This window comes from Homo sapiens, chromosome 7 (genome assembly GCF_000001405.40).
Source record: "Homo sapiens chromosome 7, GRCh38.p14 Primary Assembly".
Classification (NCBI taxonomy): domain Eukaryota; kingdom Metazoa; phylum Chordata; class Mammalia; order Primates; family Hominidae; genus Homo; species Homo sapiens.
In genome coordinates, this window is record NC_000007.14 from 137,306,702 (window position 1) to 137,324,441 (window position 17,740).

Sequence of the window (17,740 nt, forward strand, 5' to 3'; positions counted from 1 at the left end):
TTACCTCCTTGCTAGAATTTATCTTTACATCACTAAATATGACAGCCCTTGAGCTAAATATATCTTCAAAATAAAATCTGACTTACTGTTTTGGAAAGATCACATTCATGTTAGTATGTCATGAGAGCAACCTATTATTAGGTAGCCAGGACTAAATGTGGTGGGAAAATCACTGCACCAGAAACAGGGATATCCACCTTTAGTGCTGGCTTTACTATTCCCTGGCACACAATCTCGGGTGGTTACTTCACCTGCCAGTGCCTCGCATTCCTCATATGAAAATAATGGGTTTGAGGTCTACTAGCAACCCTTTGAAAAGTGCCAATTTTCCATACATGCCAGAAGCAGTCAATGCTCAGTAGAGAAACTGAAATTCAATTAGGTATCGGTGGCATATGTGGCAGCTACTTTGAATAACGAATTTAAAGTTTGGGCTTTGGTTCATGTTGACATTTTATCTTCCCTATGGATAGTTTCAGCCTCCATGAAAGTTTATTCTTATTCTTGTCCCTCCTCATTGACTCTTCATCATGCTGGGCCCACTGAAGCACAGCATCTGACAGCTGTTCGGTTCCTGACAATCTAAGTTTCTTTTTAGGGCAACTCAGAAAGGTACCTATTCATATTGTACTAGTAAAGTTACCACTGAGTTTCCAATCCTGGTACCTGGGAATAATTCAATATATGTTTGCTATAATAGAAAAAATCACTACACAAATTTTTTAATGAAAAGGCCACCTAAACTTGATTTAAGAATGCCTCTAGTTGGATGAAGAGCTGGCTTAGTCACGCTGATTTCTATTCCAACAATTCATTTTTTAAATTTTTATTTCTGACCACAAACAGCTCATTAAAATTCAGTCCATAATTAAGAACTCAAACTAAATATGTCTATGACTATATATATATATGTATTTAATAAATATACATTACCTCCACAGTATGTATACACATATATATATTTAATGTGAGTAATCCATTTTGTTGTTTTCCGTATGTAATATGGCTTATGATTCTGAGATTCAAGTTGATAGTGTGCTTTAACAAACACAAACCAATACCAACAACCCTGCCCAATAGAAAGGCAGACGAAGTAATTTGCCCAAAGTCACTGATGAAGGGCAGAGCCAGAGGCAGAATGTACCCTTGTACTCTGTTTCCAACCCCCTCCACAGCTGCTTCTACTCCTGCGCTTGTTCCATGCTAAATGCCATGAGTGAGAGGGAAAGGATATTACAAGATTTTCTTTGTTCTTTGGAAGGGAGAAACAGCTTCATCTGTTCATGAAATCTCTAAAGCACCTAGGATTCTATTTTCTGTCCTCTTTTATTCAAAGGGAAGGGTACAGGAGCCCTACTGAGAGGCACACCTATTTCCTTGCAATCTTACTCTTTCTGACTTGATTTTCTTACGGCGTGAATCTTTGTCTAGCCCAGAGAGAGGAAGAACTACTTCTCACTGAGCCAACTCATTGTTTATTATCTTTTTAAATTTTATGCCCTGAAAAGTCATGAATTGTTACTCAAAAGTCATGAATTTTATTCTCTTTTCCTGTGCTCTGCCCTCTCTTGAGAACTAAATTATGGTTTTGTCTAGCCATCCAAAGGAAGAAAGGTTATAGGAAAACTGGACTTACCAATAGGAAAAGAAAAATCAGTACAGAATGAATCCTACTATTTAACATCACTATGTCACAGAAATACAAATGTACGTACATACATATATACAAACTACAGTGGTGACTAGTTTCTCAATTTGGATGACTAAAACCTTTTGAAACTGCTCAAGGGATTATCCATCTACTTTCTTTCTTTTTCGTGGTAGATTCTGCCAGGCTGCTATTGGGTGTTGGGGTTCAGAGCTTGGTAAGGTGAATTTTTGTGACAGATATTAATATCAGGGTAGGGTGATCTGGTAATAATCACAGTCTATATCCTGAGAGGTGGTGAGGATTAAGCCTTTATGGCAGGCAGATGATGACCAAGGACGAGATGCTCCTGATCCAGTCTTCACGTCTCCATCTCCCCACAGCACACTGGCTCTCAGTAAGTTCCCTGGGGCATAAACACTATTCTAGGGATTGTAAATATTAAGCAGGGACAGGAAGATTTGAATCAATCAGATAACCCTAAACTTACTTGGTTTCCCTAAATTGTCTGACACTGACATTTTGACCCCTGACGGGCCCAGATGAAAATTAAGTTACCTCTAAACCTAACAGGTTCACTTATTCTACCAGTTCAAATGACCATTTGATGTTGGGACTGAAAGAAAAAATAAGAAAGACAGGATGCAAAGTACATACTGAAATAGATCCTAGAGCACAGTAAAGAGTGAGGGTTAGATACAATTTCTCTGTGACCTGGAGGATTGGAATGGCCGAGGAAACTGATGTACGGCCATACCTTGGAGATACTGCACATTGGGTTCCAGACCACTGCAATTAAAGTGAACACCACAATAAAGCAAGTCATACAATTTTTTTGGTTCCCCAGTGCATACAAAATTTATGTTTACACTACACTGTAGCCTATTAAGTGTGCAATAGCAGTATGTCTTAAAAAAGTATTTATCTCAATTTTAAAATATTGTATTGCTAATATATGCTAATGAGCATCTGAGCCTTCAATGAGACATGATCATTTTGCTAGCAGAGGGTCTTGCCTAGATGTTGATGGCTGCTGAGTGATCAGGGCAGTTGGTTGCTGAAGTCTGGGGTGGCTGTGGCAATTTCTTAAAATAAGACAACAATGAAGTTTGTCACATCAATTCACTCTTTCATGAATGATTTCTCTGTCTCATGTGATGGTGTTTGATAACATTTTACCCACAGGAGAACTTCCTTCAAAATCTAAGCGACTCCTCTCACACCTTCCCACTGCTTTATCACCTAGGTTTATTAATATTCTAAATACTTTGTTGTCATTTCAACAATGCTCACATCTCCACCAAGAGAAGCTTCCATCTCAAGAAACCACATTCTTTGCTCACCCATAAGAAGCAACTCCTCATCTGTTCAAGTTTGATCATGAGATTGCAGCAACTCAGCAATATTTTCAGGCTCCACTTCTAATTCTAGTTCTCTTGTTATTTCCACATCTGCAATTGCTTCCTGCACTGAAGTCATGAGCCCCTTAAATTTATTCTTGAAGGTTGGAATCCACTTCTTCCAAACTTTTGCTAATGTTATTTTGACCTCCTCCCATGAATCAGGAATGTTTTTAATGGCATCTAGAATGATGAATCCTTTCCAGAAGGTTTTAAATTTGCTTTGCTCAGATCCATCAGAGGAATCACCATCTATGGCAGCTATAGCCTGCAAAATGTATTTCTTACATATAACTTGAAAGTTGAAATGACCCTTTGATCCATAGGCTTCAGAATGAATGTCATATTAGCAGGCATGGAAACATTAATAAAATCCTGATACATTTCCATCAGAGCTCTTGGGTGACCAGGTGCATTGTCAATGAGCAATAATATTTTGATAGGGATAGTTTTTCTCAGTAGTGGGTCTCAACAGTGAGTTTAAAATATTCGGTAAACCACGCTGTAAACAGATGTGCCATCATCCAGGCTCTGTTGTTCCTTTGATAGAGCACAGGCAGAGTAGGTTCAGCATAATTCTTAAGGGCCCTAGTATTTTCAGAATGGTCAGTGAGCAGTGTCTTCAAATTCAAGTTACCATGTTTTTTTTTTTTTGTTTTTTTTTTTTTTGAGATAGTCTCATTCTGTCACCAGGCTGGAGTGCAGTGGTGTGATCTTGGCTCACTGCAACCTCCGACTCCCTGGCTTAAGTGATTCTCCTGCCTCAGCCTCCTGAGTAGCTGGGATTACAGGCATGCGCCACCATGCCCAGCTAATTTTTCTTTTTTTGTATTTTTAGTAGAGACGGGGTTTCACCATGTTGGCCAGGTTGGTCTCAATCTCCTGACCTCATGATCCGCCTGTCTCAGCCTCCCAAAGTGCTGGGATTATAGTCATGAGCCACCACCGCAGGCCATCTAACAGAAGTCTGTTTCATTTACATTGAAAATGTGTTATTTAGTGTAGTCGCCTTTATCAATGATCTTAGCTGGATCTTCTGGATAACTTGCTGCAGGTTCTACATCAGCATTTGCTGCTTCACTTGCACTTTTATATTATGGAGATGGTTACTTTCCTTAAACCTCATGAACCAATCTCTGCTGGCTTAAAACTTTTCTTCTGCAGCTTCCTCTCTTCTCTCTGCCTTCATAGAACTGAAGAGGCTGGGCATGGTATCTCAAGCCTGTAATCCCAGCACCTTGGGAGGCCAACGTGAGCAGATCACTTGAGGTCAGAAGTTCGAAACCAAACTGGTCAACATGGCAAAACCTCCTCTCTACTAAAAATACAAGAATTAGCTGGGCATGGTGGTACACACCTGTAACCCCAACTACTTGAGAGGCTGAGGCATGAGAACTGCTTGACCCCAGGAGGCAGAGGTTGCAGTGAGCTGAGATCATGCCACCGCACACCAGCCTGGGTGACAGAGGGAGACTCCATTTCAAAAAAAAAAAAAAAAAAAGAATTGAAGAGAGTTAAGGCCTTTCTCTGAATTAGGCTTTGGATTGAAAAAAAATGTTGTGATTGGTTTGAACTTGTATCCAGACCACTCAAACTTTCTCCATATCAACAATGAGGTTATTTTGCTTTTATTCGTGTATTTACTGGAGTAATATTTTTAATCTTCTTCAAGCACCTTTCCTTTGCATTCACAATTTGGCTGTTTGGCATGAAAGGCTTTGCTTTTGGCCTATCTTGACTTCTGATATGCCCTTCCCCACTAAGAGTAGTCATTTCTAGATTTTAATTTAAAATGAGAGATGTTCAACTCTTCCTTTTATTTGAACACTTAGAGGCCATTGTCCCATCATTGGGTTACTAGTTGGCCTAATTTCAATATTTTGTCTCAACAAATAAGGAGGCTCAATAAGAGGAAGAGAGACAGGGAAATGACCTATCAATGGAATAGTCAGAACACACACAACATTTATCTATTTTAAGTTCGCCATCTTATACAGGTGTAGTTCATGATACCCCAAAACAATTACAACAGTAACATCAAGATCACTGATCACAGATCACCATAAGGACATAATGGTAATAAAAATTTTGAAATATGGTATAAATTACTAAAATATGACACAGAGACACAAAGCGACCACATGCTGTTGGAAAATGGTGCTGATAGACTTGCTCAATGCAGGGTTACCACAGATCTTCCATCTGTAAAATATGCAATCTCTGAGAAGCACAATTAAGCAAAGCCCAACAGAATGAGGTATGCCCATATATCATCAATGGACCATGTCATACAAAGTTGATGGACTTGGTTTTAAGACACAGGTGGCAACTCCTAATCCCTAATGAATCCATAAAACCTACCTGACACTGCCAATGAGAGAACTGTGATGTCTCCACATTTAAAGGACAAGATATTAATTGTTGTCAATTTTGAGTGCCAATAGCAAAGCCAATTTTTTAATTATACAGTTGTAATCATTTTCCAGTGAAAATGAATATAAATTAGACTGTGCAGCAATGAGGCATTCAAATGAATCCATCCGCGATGCACATTTCTTAGAACAGCTTGGCTTAATGGTGCTTTACTTGCTTTTCTACCAATGACAGAGAGCAGGTAAATGAGACAAGGAACTAAGCAGTGGGAGCCTACTAAAATGAGAAACAGAAGATGCTCAAAGACACACTATGCCTGTTGACAATTTGCCTGGGTGGTTTATTCTGCCCGTTCACCTGATGCATACTTGCAATCTCCACAGGTTCTAAGCTACGCTTTCTCAGCTTTCCAATTCAGCTTAAACAGTTATCTTTTGGAAAATTGTTGCCATTTAATTTTTTTTCTTTACCATTCCTCCACCCCTCTCTCATATTTATTGAAAAATGTGAAGCTATTAACCACTGGAGAGATTTTCAACACCTGGTCCAAAAATAGACAAAAAAGTAAGAAAAAGGCTAGAAAATGCCAATTTTTAAAATAAAAAAATTGAAAACTCTTAAATTTTCAATAAAGTTACACTCCAGTTTAAAACAACTACCCATACGACAAATGTATAAAACATATATATTGGGTAGTGAATGAATTAGGTGATATTAAAACTAATTCAAACTAATTTACTACTCTTTACCTGCCACACAGTATTCTTGTGATAATCAAATGAAAAAGAAAAAAGACTAAATATAATGAAAACTGTAAAATAATTTTATATGGTGATATTTAATATTTTATGTACTCTGCCAGGTGTTATTTATATGTGGTTTTGTTACAAAATACTTCTAGGTACTTCCTACAAGTACCTAGATAAAGTAGATTCCTTTATCTTCCTTCTCGTTCCCCCCTCTCATTCATCTTGCTGAAACTGAGCCCTCCTGGCAGCCCTCACTCCCCACGTGTCTCCAGAGAGACATTTCACTGAGGGCCTTCTGATTTCCCCACCTCCAAATATATATCGTGTCTCGGCTTGCTCAATATCCACTCCAACTCTCTTCCAGCAAGCAGAAAGGGAAAAGCAAAAAGCAGAAAACAAAATTAAACAAACTTTTAAAAAGAAATAACAACTACATTTCCCAGCCTCACTCACAACTGTTTTGCAGATGACTTAGGGAATTGCTGTTCAGATGCATTCATAAGGGAACTGAGTCATGAGGGGACACAGGCACGGTGTGTGGCATCTGGCTTGCAAGTGAGGACTGCGGCTCTGCAGTGTGTTTTTAGGAGCTATTCCCAGAAGTCCAGCTTTGAATTAATCCATTCAGCTATCCCAGTAATTGTGGGAGCTAGCTCTCCCCCTTAATCGATCCCTCACTGTTTAAACTATAATAGCTGGAGGAAATGTTATTGTTTGCAACTTTAAAAAATTGACCTATACTCACTCTTTCCCTTATTATCAAATTCTGCTCCCAGCCAACACTTTCATAACTATCAAAGGATTAAATAAATTCACACTAAGATTTTAAAATTTCAACTCACATGAGTAACTAATCTGAAAATCATGAGGCAAGGTCCTCTCTTATCTTCTACAAGGTTATAAGAGCTAATGTACTACAGATATCCTATCTGTTGTACCGATAAGCTTCATTTAATCCACTTAGAAATTCAAAAGAACGTATACCTTCTTGGAATTTAATATCTCCTCAGAATTGGATGTTCACCATGCACAGACCAACTAGACTGGGCCAGACATAGGTTTATTATTCAACCTTTTTCATCAGGTGCTGGTTTCTGAGAAGGGTCTGAGAAATCACATTTGGAAAGCAGAAGATAATCTCACCTATTTTATTTTATTTTATGTATTATTTATTATATTTTCATCTATAATTCTATTATTCAGCTGCTGAGTGATGAGCGGGACTAGAAAATCTCAGTAGAAAGGCAGAAGAAAATATCTATTTTTAGAGTCATTGTGGCTCAGTGTTCAACTATAAAGCATTGCTAAAATTTCCGGAAGGCTCTATAGTACCCTAAAAGACACAGCCCCAAGACAGGCTTTCCAGAATAGGGCATACATTGAGTACTCCATGCATTAAAGTGGCCTTAGCAGTATCATGGATCATTGCTCTTTTCTGCATGTATTAACTTACTTTGTTCCATGTACTACAGCATATGGCAAAGACGAATAAGATCACCAATGAGGTACCAGCAATTGATGGAAGGTAGACATATATAAAAATATGTGTAGCACAATGCAAAGTTTACATGGCAGAAGCAAGTGAAAAGTGCCACAATATTAGACTCTCAGGAGATTAGATGGGCTTAGAAGTCAAGGGAAATTGTATATACAGATGTGCCGTATACATTATGCCTATTTTTATGGTATTATCTCTCAGGTCCAAACCCAGTCTTTTACATGATGCTTTTTTTTTTTTTTTTAGAGAGTCTCGCCCTCTCGCCCATGCTGAAATCCAGCATGGTGTGATCTCGACTCACGGCAACCTCCGACTCCCAGGTTCAAACAATTTTCCTGCCTCAGCTTCCCAAGTAGCTGGGATTACAGGTGCCCACCACCGCACTCAGCTAATTTTTGTATTTTTAGTATAGACGGGCTTTCAACATGTTGGCCAGGCTGGTCTCAGACTCCTGACCTCATGATCCGCCCGCCTCGGCCTCCCAAAGTGCTGGGATTACAGGTGTGAGCCACCGCACCCGGCCCATGTTGCTTTGTGATACTAGTGACTCCTCCATGTTTTATTTCAGTTACATAATTAATACTTTAGACATTGTTAACTATTATTCATGTTCATTCTCTCTGTTAAAGTAATTGATGTGGTGTATTTCTTGGCTGATCCTGACACACAGAAATTGGTAGCCAGCACAAGGTCAGGAGTCAGACGCTCATAGATAGGATAGAGGGATTGGTTTGGCTGTGTTCTCGGGCTTGACGGTGATGGGCTCGTTGCCAATGCAAAATAGGATGCTAATAATTATGCCATGCAATGGTATCACCATTAATCAAATGAACACCTGTACTTGATTGTAATAAATTACTTACTGAAGAAAATGCCTTAAGAGCCCAGATGGCTGCTGTCCTTGACCATTACGAAAGTAATGATGACTATGAGGACTGTGGTGTGGGATGGATTCTCCTGAATGTCCCAGAACACTTACACGAAAAAAAAAAAAAGTGCAAGCTCAAGTCCAAATTCTTATCACAAACCACAGATGAGGACTTACCTGGTAGCCTTAAAGGAATCTCATCTGTTGTAACCTCTGGGCTGATATTATTGAACAGCAAGCACAGCTCTTAAGTGTGTGTGTTGCAGAATTACAAATTAAGTTGAAGTCACAGTTTCATCAGTTCTCTCGTGGGCAAGTTGGGACATTGTTTGGAAAGGGAGTTCCTGCAATGTGGAAAGGGGAGATCTAGCCGGATTCGAACACCCAGGATCTTAAACCACCTAGTGACTCTGGGCTTCCGTCTCACACCCCTTACTGACAGCCTGCTGTGGAGCCAACTGAGAAACAGAAATGTGCTCTGGCAGGGTCACATGGCCAGCACTCCAGGGTAGAGCATAGAAGGGCGGCTTTGGAGCTGGGACACTAGAATGTAGTAAAAGTATCCCATGGTATAGCTGATGGGAGGTGGCATTACATGCTGGGATGGCCTAGGTATGCAGTTCTGTGATCCTAAGTCTCTGCCTCTGCCACTGGGTTTGCATATTGAAAAAAATGCACCCTACTAGATTGGTAGCTTCACTTTTATTTTAAGTAGCAAAAACCTCCTGTCAAATAAAACCATGTCTAAAACTCCAAAATACACAACTGATAAAAATATCTGCTCTGATCATTTCTTGTGCTAACTGGGTGATCTCCTCTTGCCTGCTGCATCTACCCTGAGGCACCTCGTCAGAATCCTCAGGCTCCACTGAATATAGTCAGTAAACCTCTGAACAGAATCATCTCTTAAGGCCGTTGTTGCTCTCAAGGCAGCTCATTCCAAGATTCTCTCTTCAGGTCTGAAATACTTTTCCCAGACGATCCGTATCACCGTCACCTGGGAACTTGTTAGAAATCAAAATTCTGAGGACCCTGAACTCAAACTGCCTCAGCTCCATTCTCAGTCTCTCCATTCATTTCTGTGCAAACTTGGAGCAAGGTGCAAATCCTACACCTCATTTTCTACCCCGAGAATTTTGATCTTGAGGGCATCGTCCATATTCAGGGAACATAAGTCTTACAAGAAAGTCTCTTTGGAGGCCTAACAAATGTTCCTGAGAAATTCAGACTGAAGCATTTTTCATGATTGCATCTGTCAAGTGGTGTAATGGAAGAGAACTTTATAAAGGCAGGCCAAGGTCACCTTTCATTAATAACAGGGGCCTCATGCCTTTCAAACAGGAGGGGGCAGATTTTGAAAATGACCCATGCCAGATAGCAGAGGATCGAGCCGTCCCAAAAGAGAGTGGAGATTACTTTCCTTTCTGCAGAAAATGGCCAGGCAATTCAGCAAGAGCATAAGCAGGAGAGGAAAGCCCTCCTGGGGAGCATTGGGTTGCAGACTGGGCTGCCAGAGCATTACCTTTCCAGCAAATTAGCCGGCTGCCGGGTTTGGTGAGCATCATAAATCTCTAAGAACAGGGCTGCACTCATGAGGTAACCCAGGTGTTTGACCGTCTAGGATGTGGAAATACGCAAGGCAGTGGCGCCTGTGCCAAATGGGTCACAGCCACCCCTCGGTGCTGGAGTTTCCCAGGCCCCTTAGTGGAACTGCTCACAATTAACTGCTTTGTCTGTCCCCAAGCCCGGCCTCTCCATTGGAGGTGGGGTTCTCTCAGGTTGGTGGTCTCTCTCTTTCTCTCCCCTACTCTCTCATTTCCACAAATGCATGCAATCTTAATCAGAAATTACATCAGTCACCTAGAGTGTTTCTGAGGCTGTGTTTGTGAATCTGTCACTCCATATGTCAGGCTTGATGAAAATCGGCCTGGGTGAGTCAGGGAGAGCAGGGGCTGGCCATTCAGATGGAGGCTCTGCTTCCTCTGCTCCTGGGAGTTGCCTCCAGCCATGGAGAGCTTTCTTCATTCCACCTTTGGGTACCCTCGGTGCAGAAATCAGAATATGATTTTTAGGTTTTTTTCCTATGTGGTTAGTGAAAGTTAAATTTGAATATCAAGAATTTTATAAATGCCCAACCACCTCCAAAATCATAATGACTTCTTTAAATTTTCTAACTAACTGAGAAGTGGGTGTATGTGGGTAAAGAGTGTGGGAGGAATCCTAGAGATCCCCCATGTGGCAACCCCTATACTTCACATCTCCTGACCACACACATGCGAGTGCCATCTTTGGGAAATTCTATAGACTTTGGAACTTTACTGAGTTCCTTTTCATCCCAGAAACTGTAAAATGTTCTCATCCTACAGCATTTGTTGTATTTATTTTGATCGTGTGTTTATTTTCTTTCTGTCTCTGAATTGTATAGGGCCTTCTGGAAAGAATCCTGTACTTAAATGATAATTATATGTGGGGCATTCAATACTTAAACAATACTGCATTGTAGAGAACTCTGGTTTTCTTTTTCAGGGGGTGGGGGAAGGCGTCGTCCCTCTCTCAAATATTATAGTTTATAGTCTTTGCAGGAAGATGCGTCAACTGAGGCATGAGTGACCAAAGACAGGTGAGCGAGGTTCAGGATGAGTAAGTACCCTGGGAGTTCAAGGAGTGGGTGGCCAGGTAGGCAACAGGGCTGAAAGAAAATTTTCTAGACAAGATAGACTTGACCCTTTCTTTACAAGAGTAATCATGGCCAGGCACTGTGGTTGACGCCTACAATCTCAGCACTTTGGGAGGCCAAGGTGGGTGGATCACTTGAAGCCAGGAGTTTGAGACCAGCCTGACCAATATAGTGAAACCTCATCTCTACTGAAAATAAAAAAAATCAGCCAGGCATGGCGGCACATGCCTGTAATCCCAGCTACTTGGGAGGCTGAGGCAGGAGAATTGCTTGAACCTAGGTGGCAGAGGTTGCAGTGTGCTGAGATCATGCCACTGCACTCCAGACCGGGCAACAGTGTGAGACTCGTCTTAATAATAGATAAATAAAAGAGTAATCTAGTGGCTGAGAGCACATTGAAGAAAAGGCTGTGAATGAACCAGGTATTTCAACACTTCATCTCTCTCTTGCTGGCCCTAATTGTAACTCCAGCGATTCCAGAGACTTCAGAGCAGAAAAACCAGGTAGAATCCTACAGATTCTTTCATACAGCATTTTATCATCTGTGGCTCCACATTAAGTATTAACTTTTTTATATATTTGTGCTCATCGTATATAATTTTAAGAAAATAAATGGTAGGCTCTAAGTTTCATTTAACTTTCTATTTCCAGGACTTTGAAAGATGAGACAAGTAAATGTGTATGCTGCGAATTAATACGTGAATGAACAAATGACTACAGGCATTATCCGAATGATATGATCTTCCTTCCCCATCTTTCTGGGTGTCGGCCTTCATTCACCATGAAGTTGTAAACACAACATTGATTTTGGAGTCAGACAACCTAAGTTCAAATCTAGCCTTTGCTAATTACTGGCTGAAATCATTGAGAAATCTACTTAACCTGCCTGAGACCTCAGTTTCCTTATTTGTAAATGGAATAGTAGTGCCTCAAGTGAGATAAGGTATGTAAAAGCGGTAAGCATTGCCCTCAATAAGTAGAATAAACTCTCCCTCCCCACTACCGTCACCAACACCAAGATTCTTTGTCTGCTTTCTGGCATTTTAGTGACTGCTGTCGTGTCTCTTCCTTTTTAAATTACTGTAGGGATACTTTTTTCTGATCCATCTATCTTTCTCTCTACTTTTGTCCACCACTCTCTACTTTTTGTCCGCCTAAAAAGACCTAAGCTCTCTAGTTCAACAGACACCACATCGTCGCTGACTACTTGAGTTCTGGAGTAATAGGAAATCATTGCTCTCAAAGTGTTTGTATTTGAAACCCAAAGACCTTCTGCAGTTTACTTAATATCCCTCAGCCTCGAATTCCTCATCTGTAAAATGGGATTAATTAGTTTCCACACTTAACAGAATTCTTGTGAGAATTAATTGAGTCATAAAGATAGAGCATTTATCAGTCTCCGGCTTGGTAAATGTGAGATATTACAAAGGGTAACCTTTTACTTTCTTCCATTTGTTCTCAGAAAGCTTAAGTCTCCAAAGCGGGCATGACTTTAATACCCACAACCCGAGAGTTCTTTGGGGAGTCGTTCCTTAAAACCTGACATTGAATCAAGGCACTCCAAGGGGCTGAAAGCGAACATCTCTTTGTCACTTCACCAAGACCACAGTCCTCCTTGTTTAGCTGGCAGATCGTTTTTTGGCCATTCAGCTTCCTCTATAGTCATTGAAATGGAAAACCCAGGATGTCTCCCCTGTGGGGTTTTGTTTTCCATTTTATCAGGATCTCAAAATGTCTCTGTGTGTCCACAAAGGGTATTCAAACCTGTACAGATGAGAAGCCGGACAAACTGCCAAGGCTTGGAGACCCAGAAGCTGGGGGCAACACCTGAATACTTTTGCCGGAATGGGCTGGGCGGGTACCTGCACTCCAGCTTCATACAGCTTTGCTGGGACTCCTTGACGTTATGGTCTTGTACGTTTAGGATAGCATTCAAGTAGCTTATAGTGTAACATCCAAGGGCCAAAGGGAGTCTTATGTGGTCTAGGTCAGTTTTTCAGTCCATACTCAATACTCCTAAGTAATCCCCTCCACGTGTATTCTGCTAATTAAGAGGCCACATGTCTGTATGTCCATGTTCCCAGGATATTCAAAAAGGCAGAAAACAAATCTCTCTCTCTTTCTAGCTCCAAAATTCCCTTGCACGATATGTATCTGCTAGTTTGGAAGACATAAATATACGCATTCATATTTAAATGACAATCATTGAGCATCCTCAATTGTGTGATTATTATCTTATACCTTTATACCATGGGAGAATAAAACAGTCTTCTACTTTTGTCTGTTTCTACTCATCTTTCACCATAATTCGCCCACACATTCACAGGCACTGTCTCTTCCCAATGCTCATACTTACTTCTTACCTTCCTGACGGAAAGAGTAAGACCCACACATAGGACTGTAAAATCTTTCTCTAAAGCAGAACATTTTAGTGTCAACTTTAAAATGAAGACTCCATTTTCTAACTCACTCATCTACTGTAGTGCAACTATAACTGGATCATTTCACACTTCTAGGAAATTTAGTACTGTGCTTTCCTCTTAGAATTTGATACTCTTCCTTGCACAATCAAGTATGCAGTGACTTGCATTTATTATAGAGATTTGGAGCACTTTTGCTCCATGGCAAACTTAAAGCTATTGTTGACAGAAATAAAAACGGGAAAAATTCCCTGGGAAGGTGTTTAGATAGGAGAAAGAGGATTAAAGCAAAATTTTGATTTTTTTTTAAAAAAGGATTCCAAATACGGAATAGAGAAAAATGAACTTTTATAACATAATAGGTTTGGGGATTTTTTTCCAAGTTTGCATTATATGCTTTCTCATGATTTTCTGACACTGGCTTGTCAATTGAATTTTATTCCTAACAGCAGTTGCCTTATGGAAACCTGCTCTGCCTTCTCTAGTCCTGCAGTTCATTGTCAACCTGCCCTACAGGATACCTTGTCATTCTTCTTCACACATCTTGATATGGTGGTTATTCATCTTGCCAAGCAAGCTGGGATTGGAAGAACCCTCTGTGTTATAACTTCTGGCTTTATTTTTCACAGACTCAAAGTAAGCTTTGAGGTCAACTGTGCTGTGGCTCTACAATGAATATTCAACAATGTACTTTGTGTCCACAGGTGTCCCGTTCAGAGCATCCAGGCTAATGGACAGTTAAGGAAACGACCCAACAGCTATTAGGGCTCCCTTGCTATTGCCAAGCTTGTTTTCATGCTGCAGGTGGTACTGAATTATATAACACATGTGCAGCTAAACAAGCAAAGACCCTGCATGTTCACCACATTCTCTCTCCTCTGAACTCTGAGGTTAATACCAGTTGTCAAACTGGCTTACGGGAAGGCACTATACCTGCTCACAGCTTGGCTAAGAATCAAAGAGATGTTTGTTTTGAAAGAATAAAATCCTTTACACCAAATATGGTTTGCATCTTTCTTTGGCTTTAATACCGTTTTTAACCACATCTTTTATATTGACTTCTCCCTCTCACAGTTCATATTTCATCACCTAAAAAAGGTAATCCAATGTCTTTATTCATGCTCATGTGTTAATTGCAAAATTAGTGGCAATATTTCTTCTGGCACTAATAGTGTTTATCATTGATGCCACGTTCTTAGATGGTAGATGCTCAAAGATATTTTATATATAGGTTTATAATTTTTCCATGACAATGTGATTTTTGTTTGATATGAAGATTGGGTGGCTTTTCTTCTGTTTAATCACTACCAGAAATAATTTCTTCTTCTTGTCACAGCACTATTTAATAATCATTTCTCAGTAGCGCTATGGCCACAGCCTTTGGAATTCAAATATGTGGCTCCAGATTTAAACATATGTAATCAGCAAAAATGAAATATTGTTTAATGCTTAAATTATGGAAAGTTACCATAGCCTAGAATTAATGTTCTATTTATAAATTAATTATTGGCTTTGAAAATTTGTTTTACTTAAAATAGCCCGTATGTGACTAGGATAAGTAAAAAAAAGTTTAATATTGATATTTAATTTTCAAAAATACAGTGTACAATAAGTTACAAAGTAAGAACTTCGGACTTAACCACTGAAACTGTTATTTTATCTCAGCCCAGGAACAGAAACATGTTTAGCTGAAGCTTAGAGGCCTTCCCTGGCACTCTCCTTCCTAAACCACCACCCCTCCTTCCCTCGTACGTAGACTCATTTTCTAACTCATTATCCTCTTTTATTTTCTTCCTTACTACTTGCTGAAATTTTGCCTACTTATTTGCTTTTCCTTAATTGAGAATGAAAGCTCAATGAAAGCAGGTACCTAATAGGTGTTTACTCCTGTGCTATCAGGGCTTAGAAGAATAACATGTGGGCATTCAATAAATATTTGATTGAGGGAAGCAATGGATGGATGTTTTCAACTGGTGACATCTATAGCCCATTTTAAAAATATAAAACATATCAGTTCATATAGTTATTTTTTAGGAGTGACATATGAGTTCTGGAGTAATACACTTGCTTTCAAAGTGTTTATATTTGAAACTTGAGATACATAGGCAGTTCTTGCTATGCATAGTAGTTTAGGACCATAAAACTGACCTTGTTTTAAGATCAACCTTAATTATCAATAGGAAAATTATGGTTTTTTTTATGACCTATCATTAAAAACTCTGTTATTCATAAATGTATAGAAAAATTAAAATATTGTAAAATTGATATTTATTTAGTATACAGCCACATAAAACATTAGAAATATTGAGATGTAAAGTGTTTGGTTTTGCAAAGTATTTATCAAGAGTCATTAGAACAGCTTGCTTTTCTTTTTTCATGGTACACATTACAATACAGAATAAGCATTTTTCCGTGCCTTGGCAAATCATCATACACCTTTCTAGATTTGGATTAGCTTCCAAAACTTCACTTATTCTTCACTCTTTCAGTGTCATAAAATAAATCCAAGAATCCATTAAAGTGAGTTACTGCCAGCATCAATTCCCTCAGGACACCTTCATCCTCTTAGTCATATCCAATTTCCTTATTTATAGCTATTAATTTGCCTTTACTAAGTGCCTTTGGCCACACATGGAGAGTCTCTCAAGTGGCAGCAGCATCAATGTTTTTACCTTCAGTTACTTCTGTAACTCCACTTATGTTTGACTTGAGTTTCACTTCCAGTGTTAAATTATTTCTCATTTCTTGCCTGCACTTTCATCTTTGTTGTCCAATTTCTTCTTTGGATTACCAATTTTTGAAAAACATCTTGTGAATTTATCATTGTGAGACAGGGAGACAACAAAAGTACATGGTTTGTTGCCTGTGCCTAAAGTGAATAACAGATTCACAGTGACCAATTACAGACAGACTATGAAAGAAGGGATGTGATGGGTCACCAACTAGAAAGCAAATTTGTTATGTATGTCGTGATTTGTAGATTGAGCAGCTAGCAGTGAAATTTGTATTTATGCAGTTTAAGTATTTTATATACTTTTAGTTAATATATTAATAAATTATGTTGTTGGGGGACTGGTGTGAATTAATTTTACTATGGTAAAGTGAAGACTGTCAGTAATTTAAAACTTCATTTGTTTGCCAAACTTTCAAATGATGTCTGAATACCTTAACGTGTGAAAGAAGCTACTTTCAAAACATGGAAAGTTGAGTTTTTACCCTTGGAAGTCACATATGAAAAACAAAGAGGGATTTTGCTTTCTTAATGTCATTCCCTGTGAGACAGACAGCAGTAGATATTTAGTCATAGCCATAGCCTAAGTTTAAGAAAACAAAATGTTATAATTGTGTAGTTATATGCTTGAATTTACTAATCAGGATTATCTCAATGGTCTCAAACTCGATCATGTATTAGAATCACCATGAGGGCTCATTAAAGGGCCAGATTGCTGGCCCTACCCTCAGAGTCTGGGGTACTAGCTGAGAATTTGCATGTCTAACGAGTTCTTAGGTGAAGCTGATGCTGCAGAGCCACCAACTTAAACACAATCAGAAGAGTATTCCATGGGGAGAGAGAAGAGAATCCACAGATCGTAATCTAGGAAAATCATAGACACTGAATCAAAGAAATTAGTGGGATCTTAGAGATCTTTTAGTGTAGGTCCCTCGTTTTACAAATGAAGAAATAGAAGCCTGAAAAATTCAGGTGATTTAATACAAAATCAGCCAGTTGTAGAGGCTGGTCTAGAACATAGAATCTATTATATTCCAACAAATTCTAGAAGACTGCTAGTGCCATAGTAGGTCGTATTTTCAATAGATACATGCCAAATACATTACACACACACAAAATGGCTCTCAAACTTTAGTGTGTCTGAAAGTAGTTCTGTGGCCTTGCTAAAAATTAACATTCTTAAGCTGGGCACTGTGGTGTATGCCTATAGTCTCAGCTACTCGGAACGTGGAGAAAGAAGGACCGCCTAAGCCCAGGAGTGAATTCCTGGGCTCAAGCTGTAGTGTGCAATGATTATGCCTGTGAATAGCAACTGCACTCCAGCCTGGGCAGCACAGCGAGACCCTGTCTCTAAAAAAAAAAAAAAAAATATATAT

At 39.4% G+C, this 17,740-nt stretch overlaps 1 protein-coding gene across 2 annotated transcripts in view; it reads right to left on the minus strand.

The window, feature by feature from the left end:
* The window catches only part of PTN (pleiotrophin), a 116,393-nt gene that overhangs the window by 79,361 nt on the left and 19,292 nt on the right, over positions 1–17,740 (minus strand). The window lies entirely within an intron of this gene.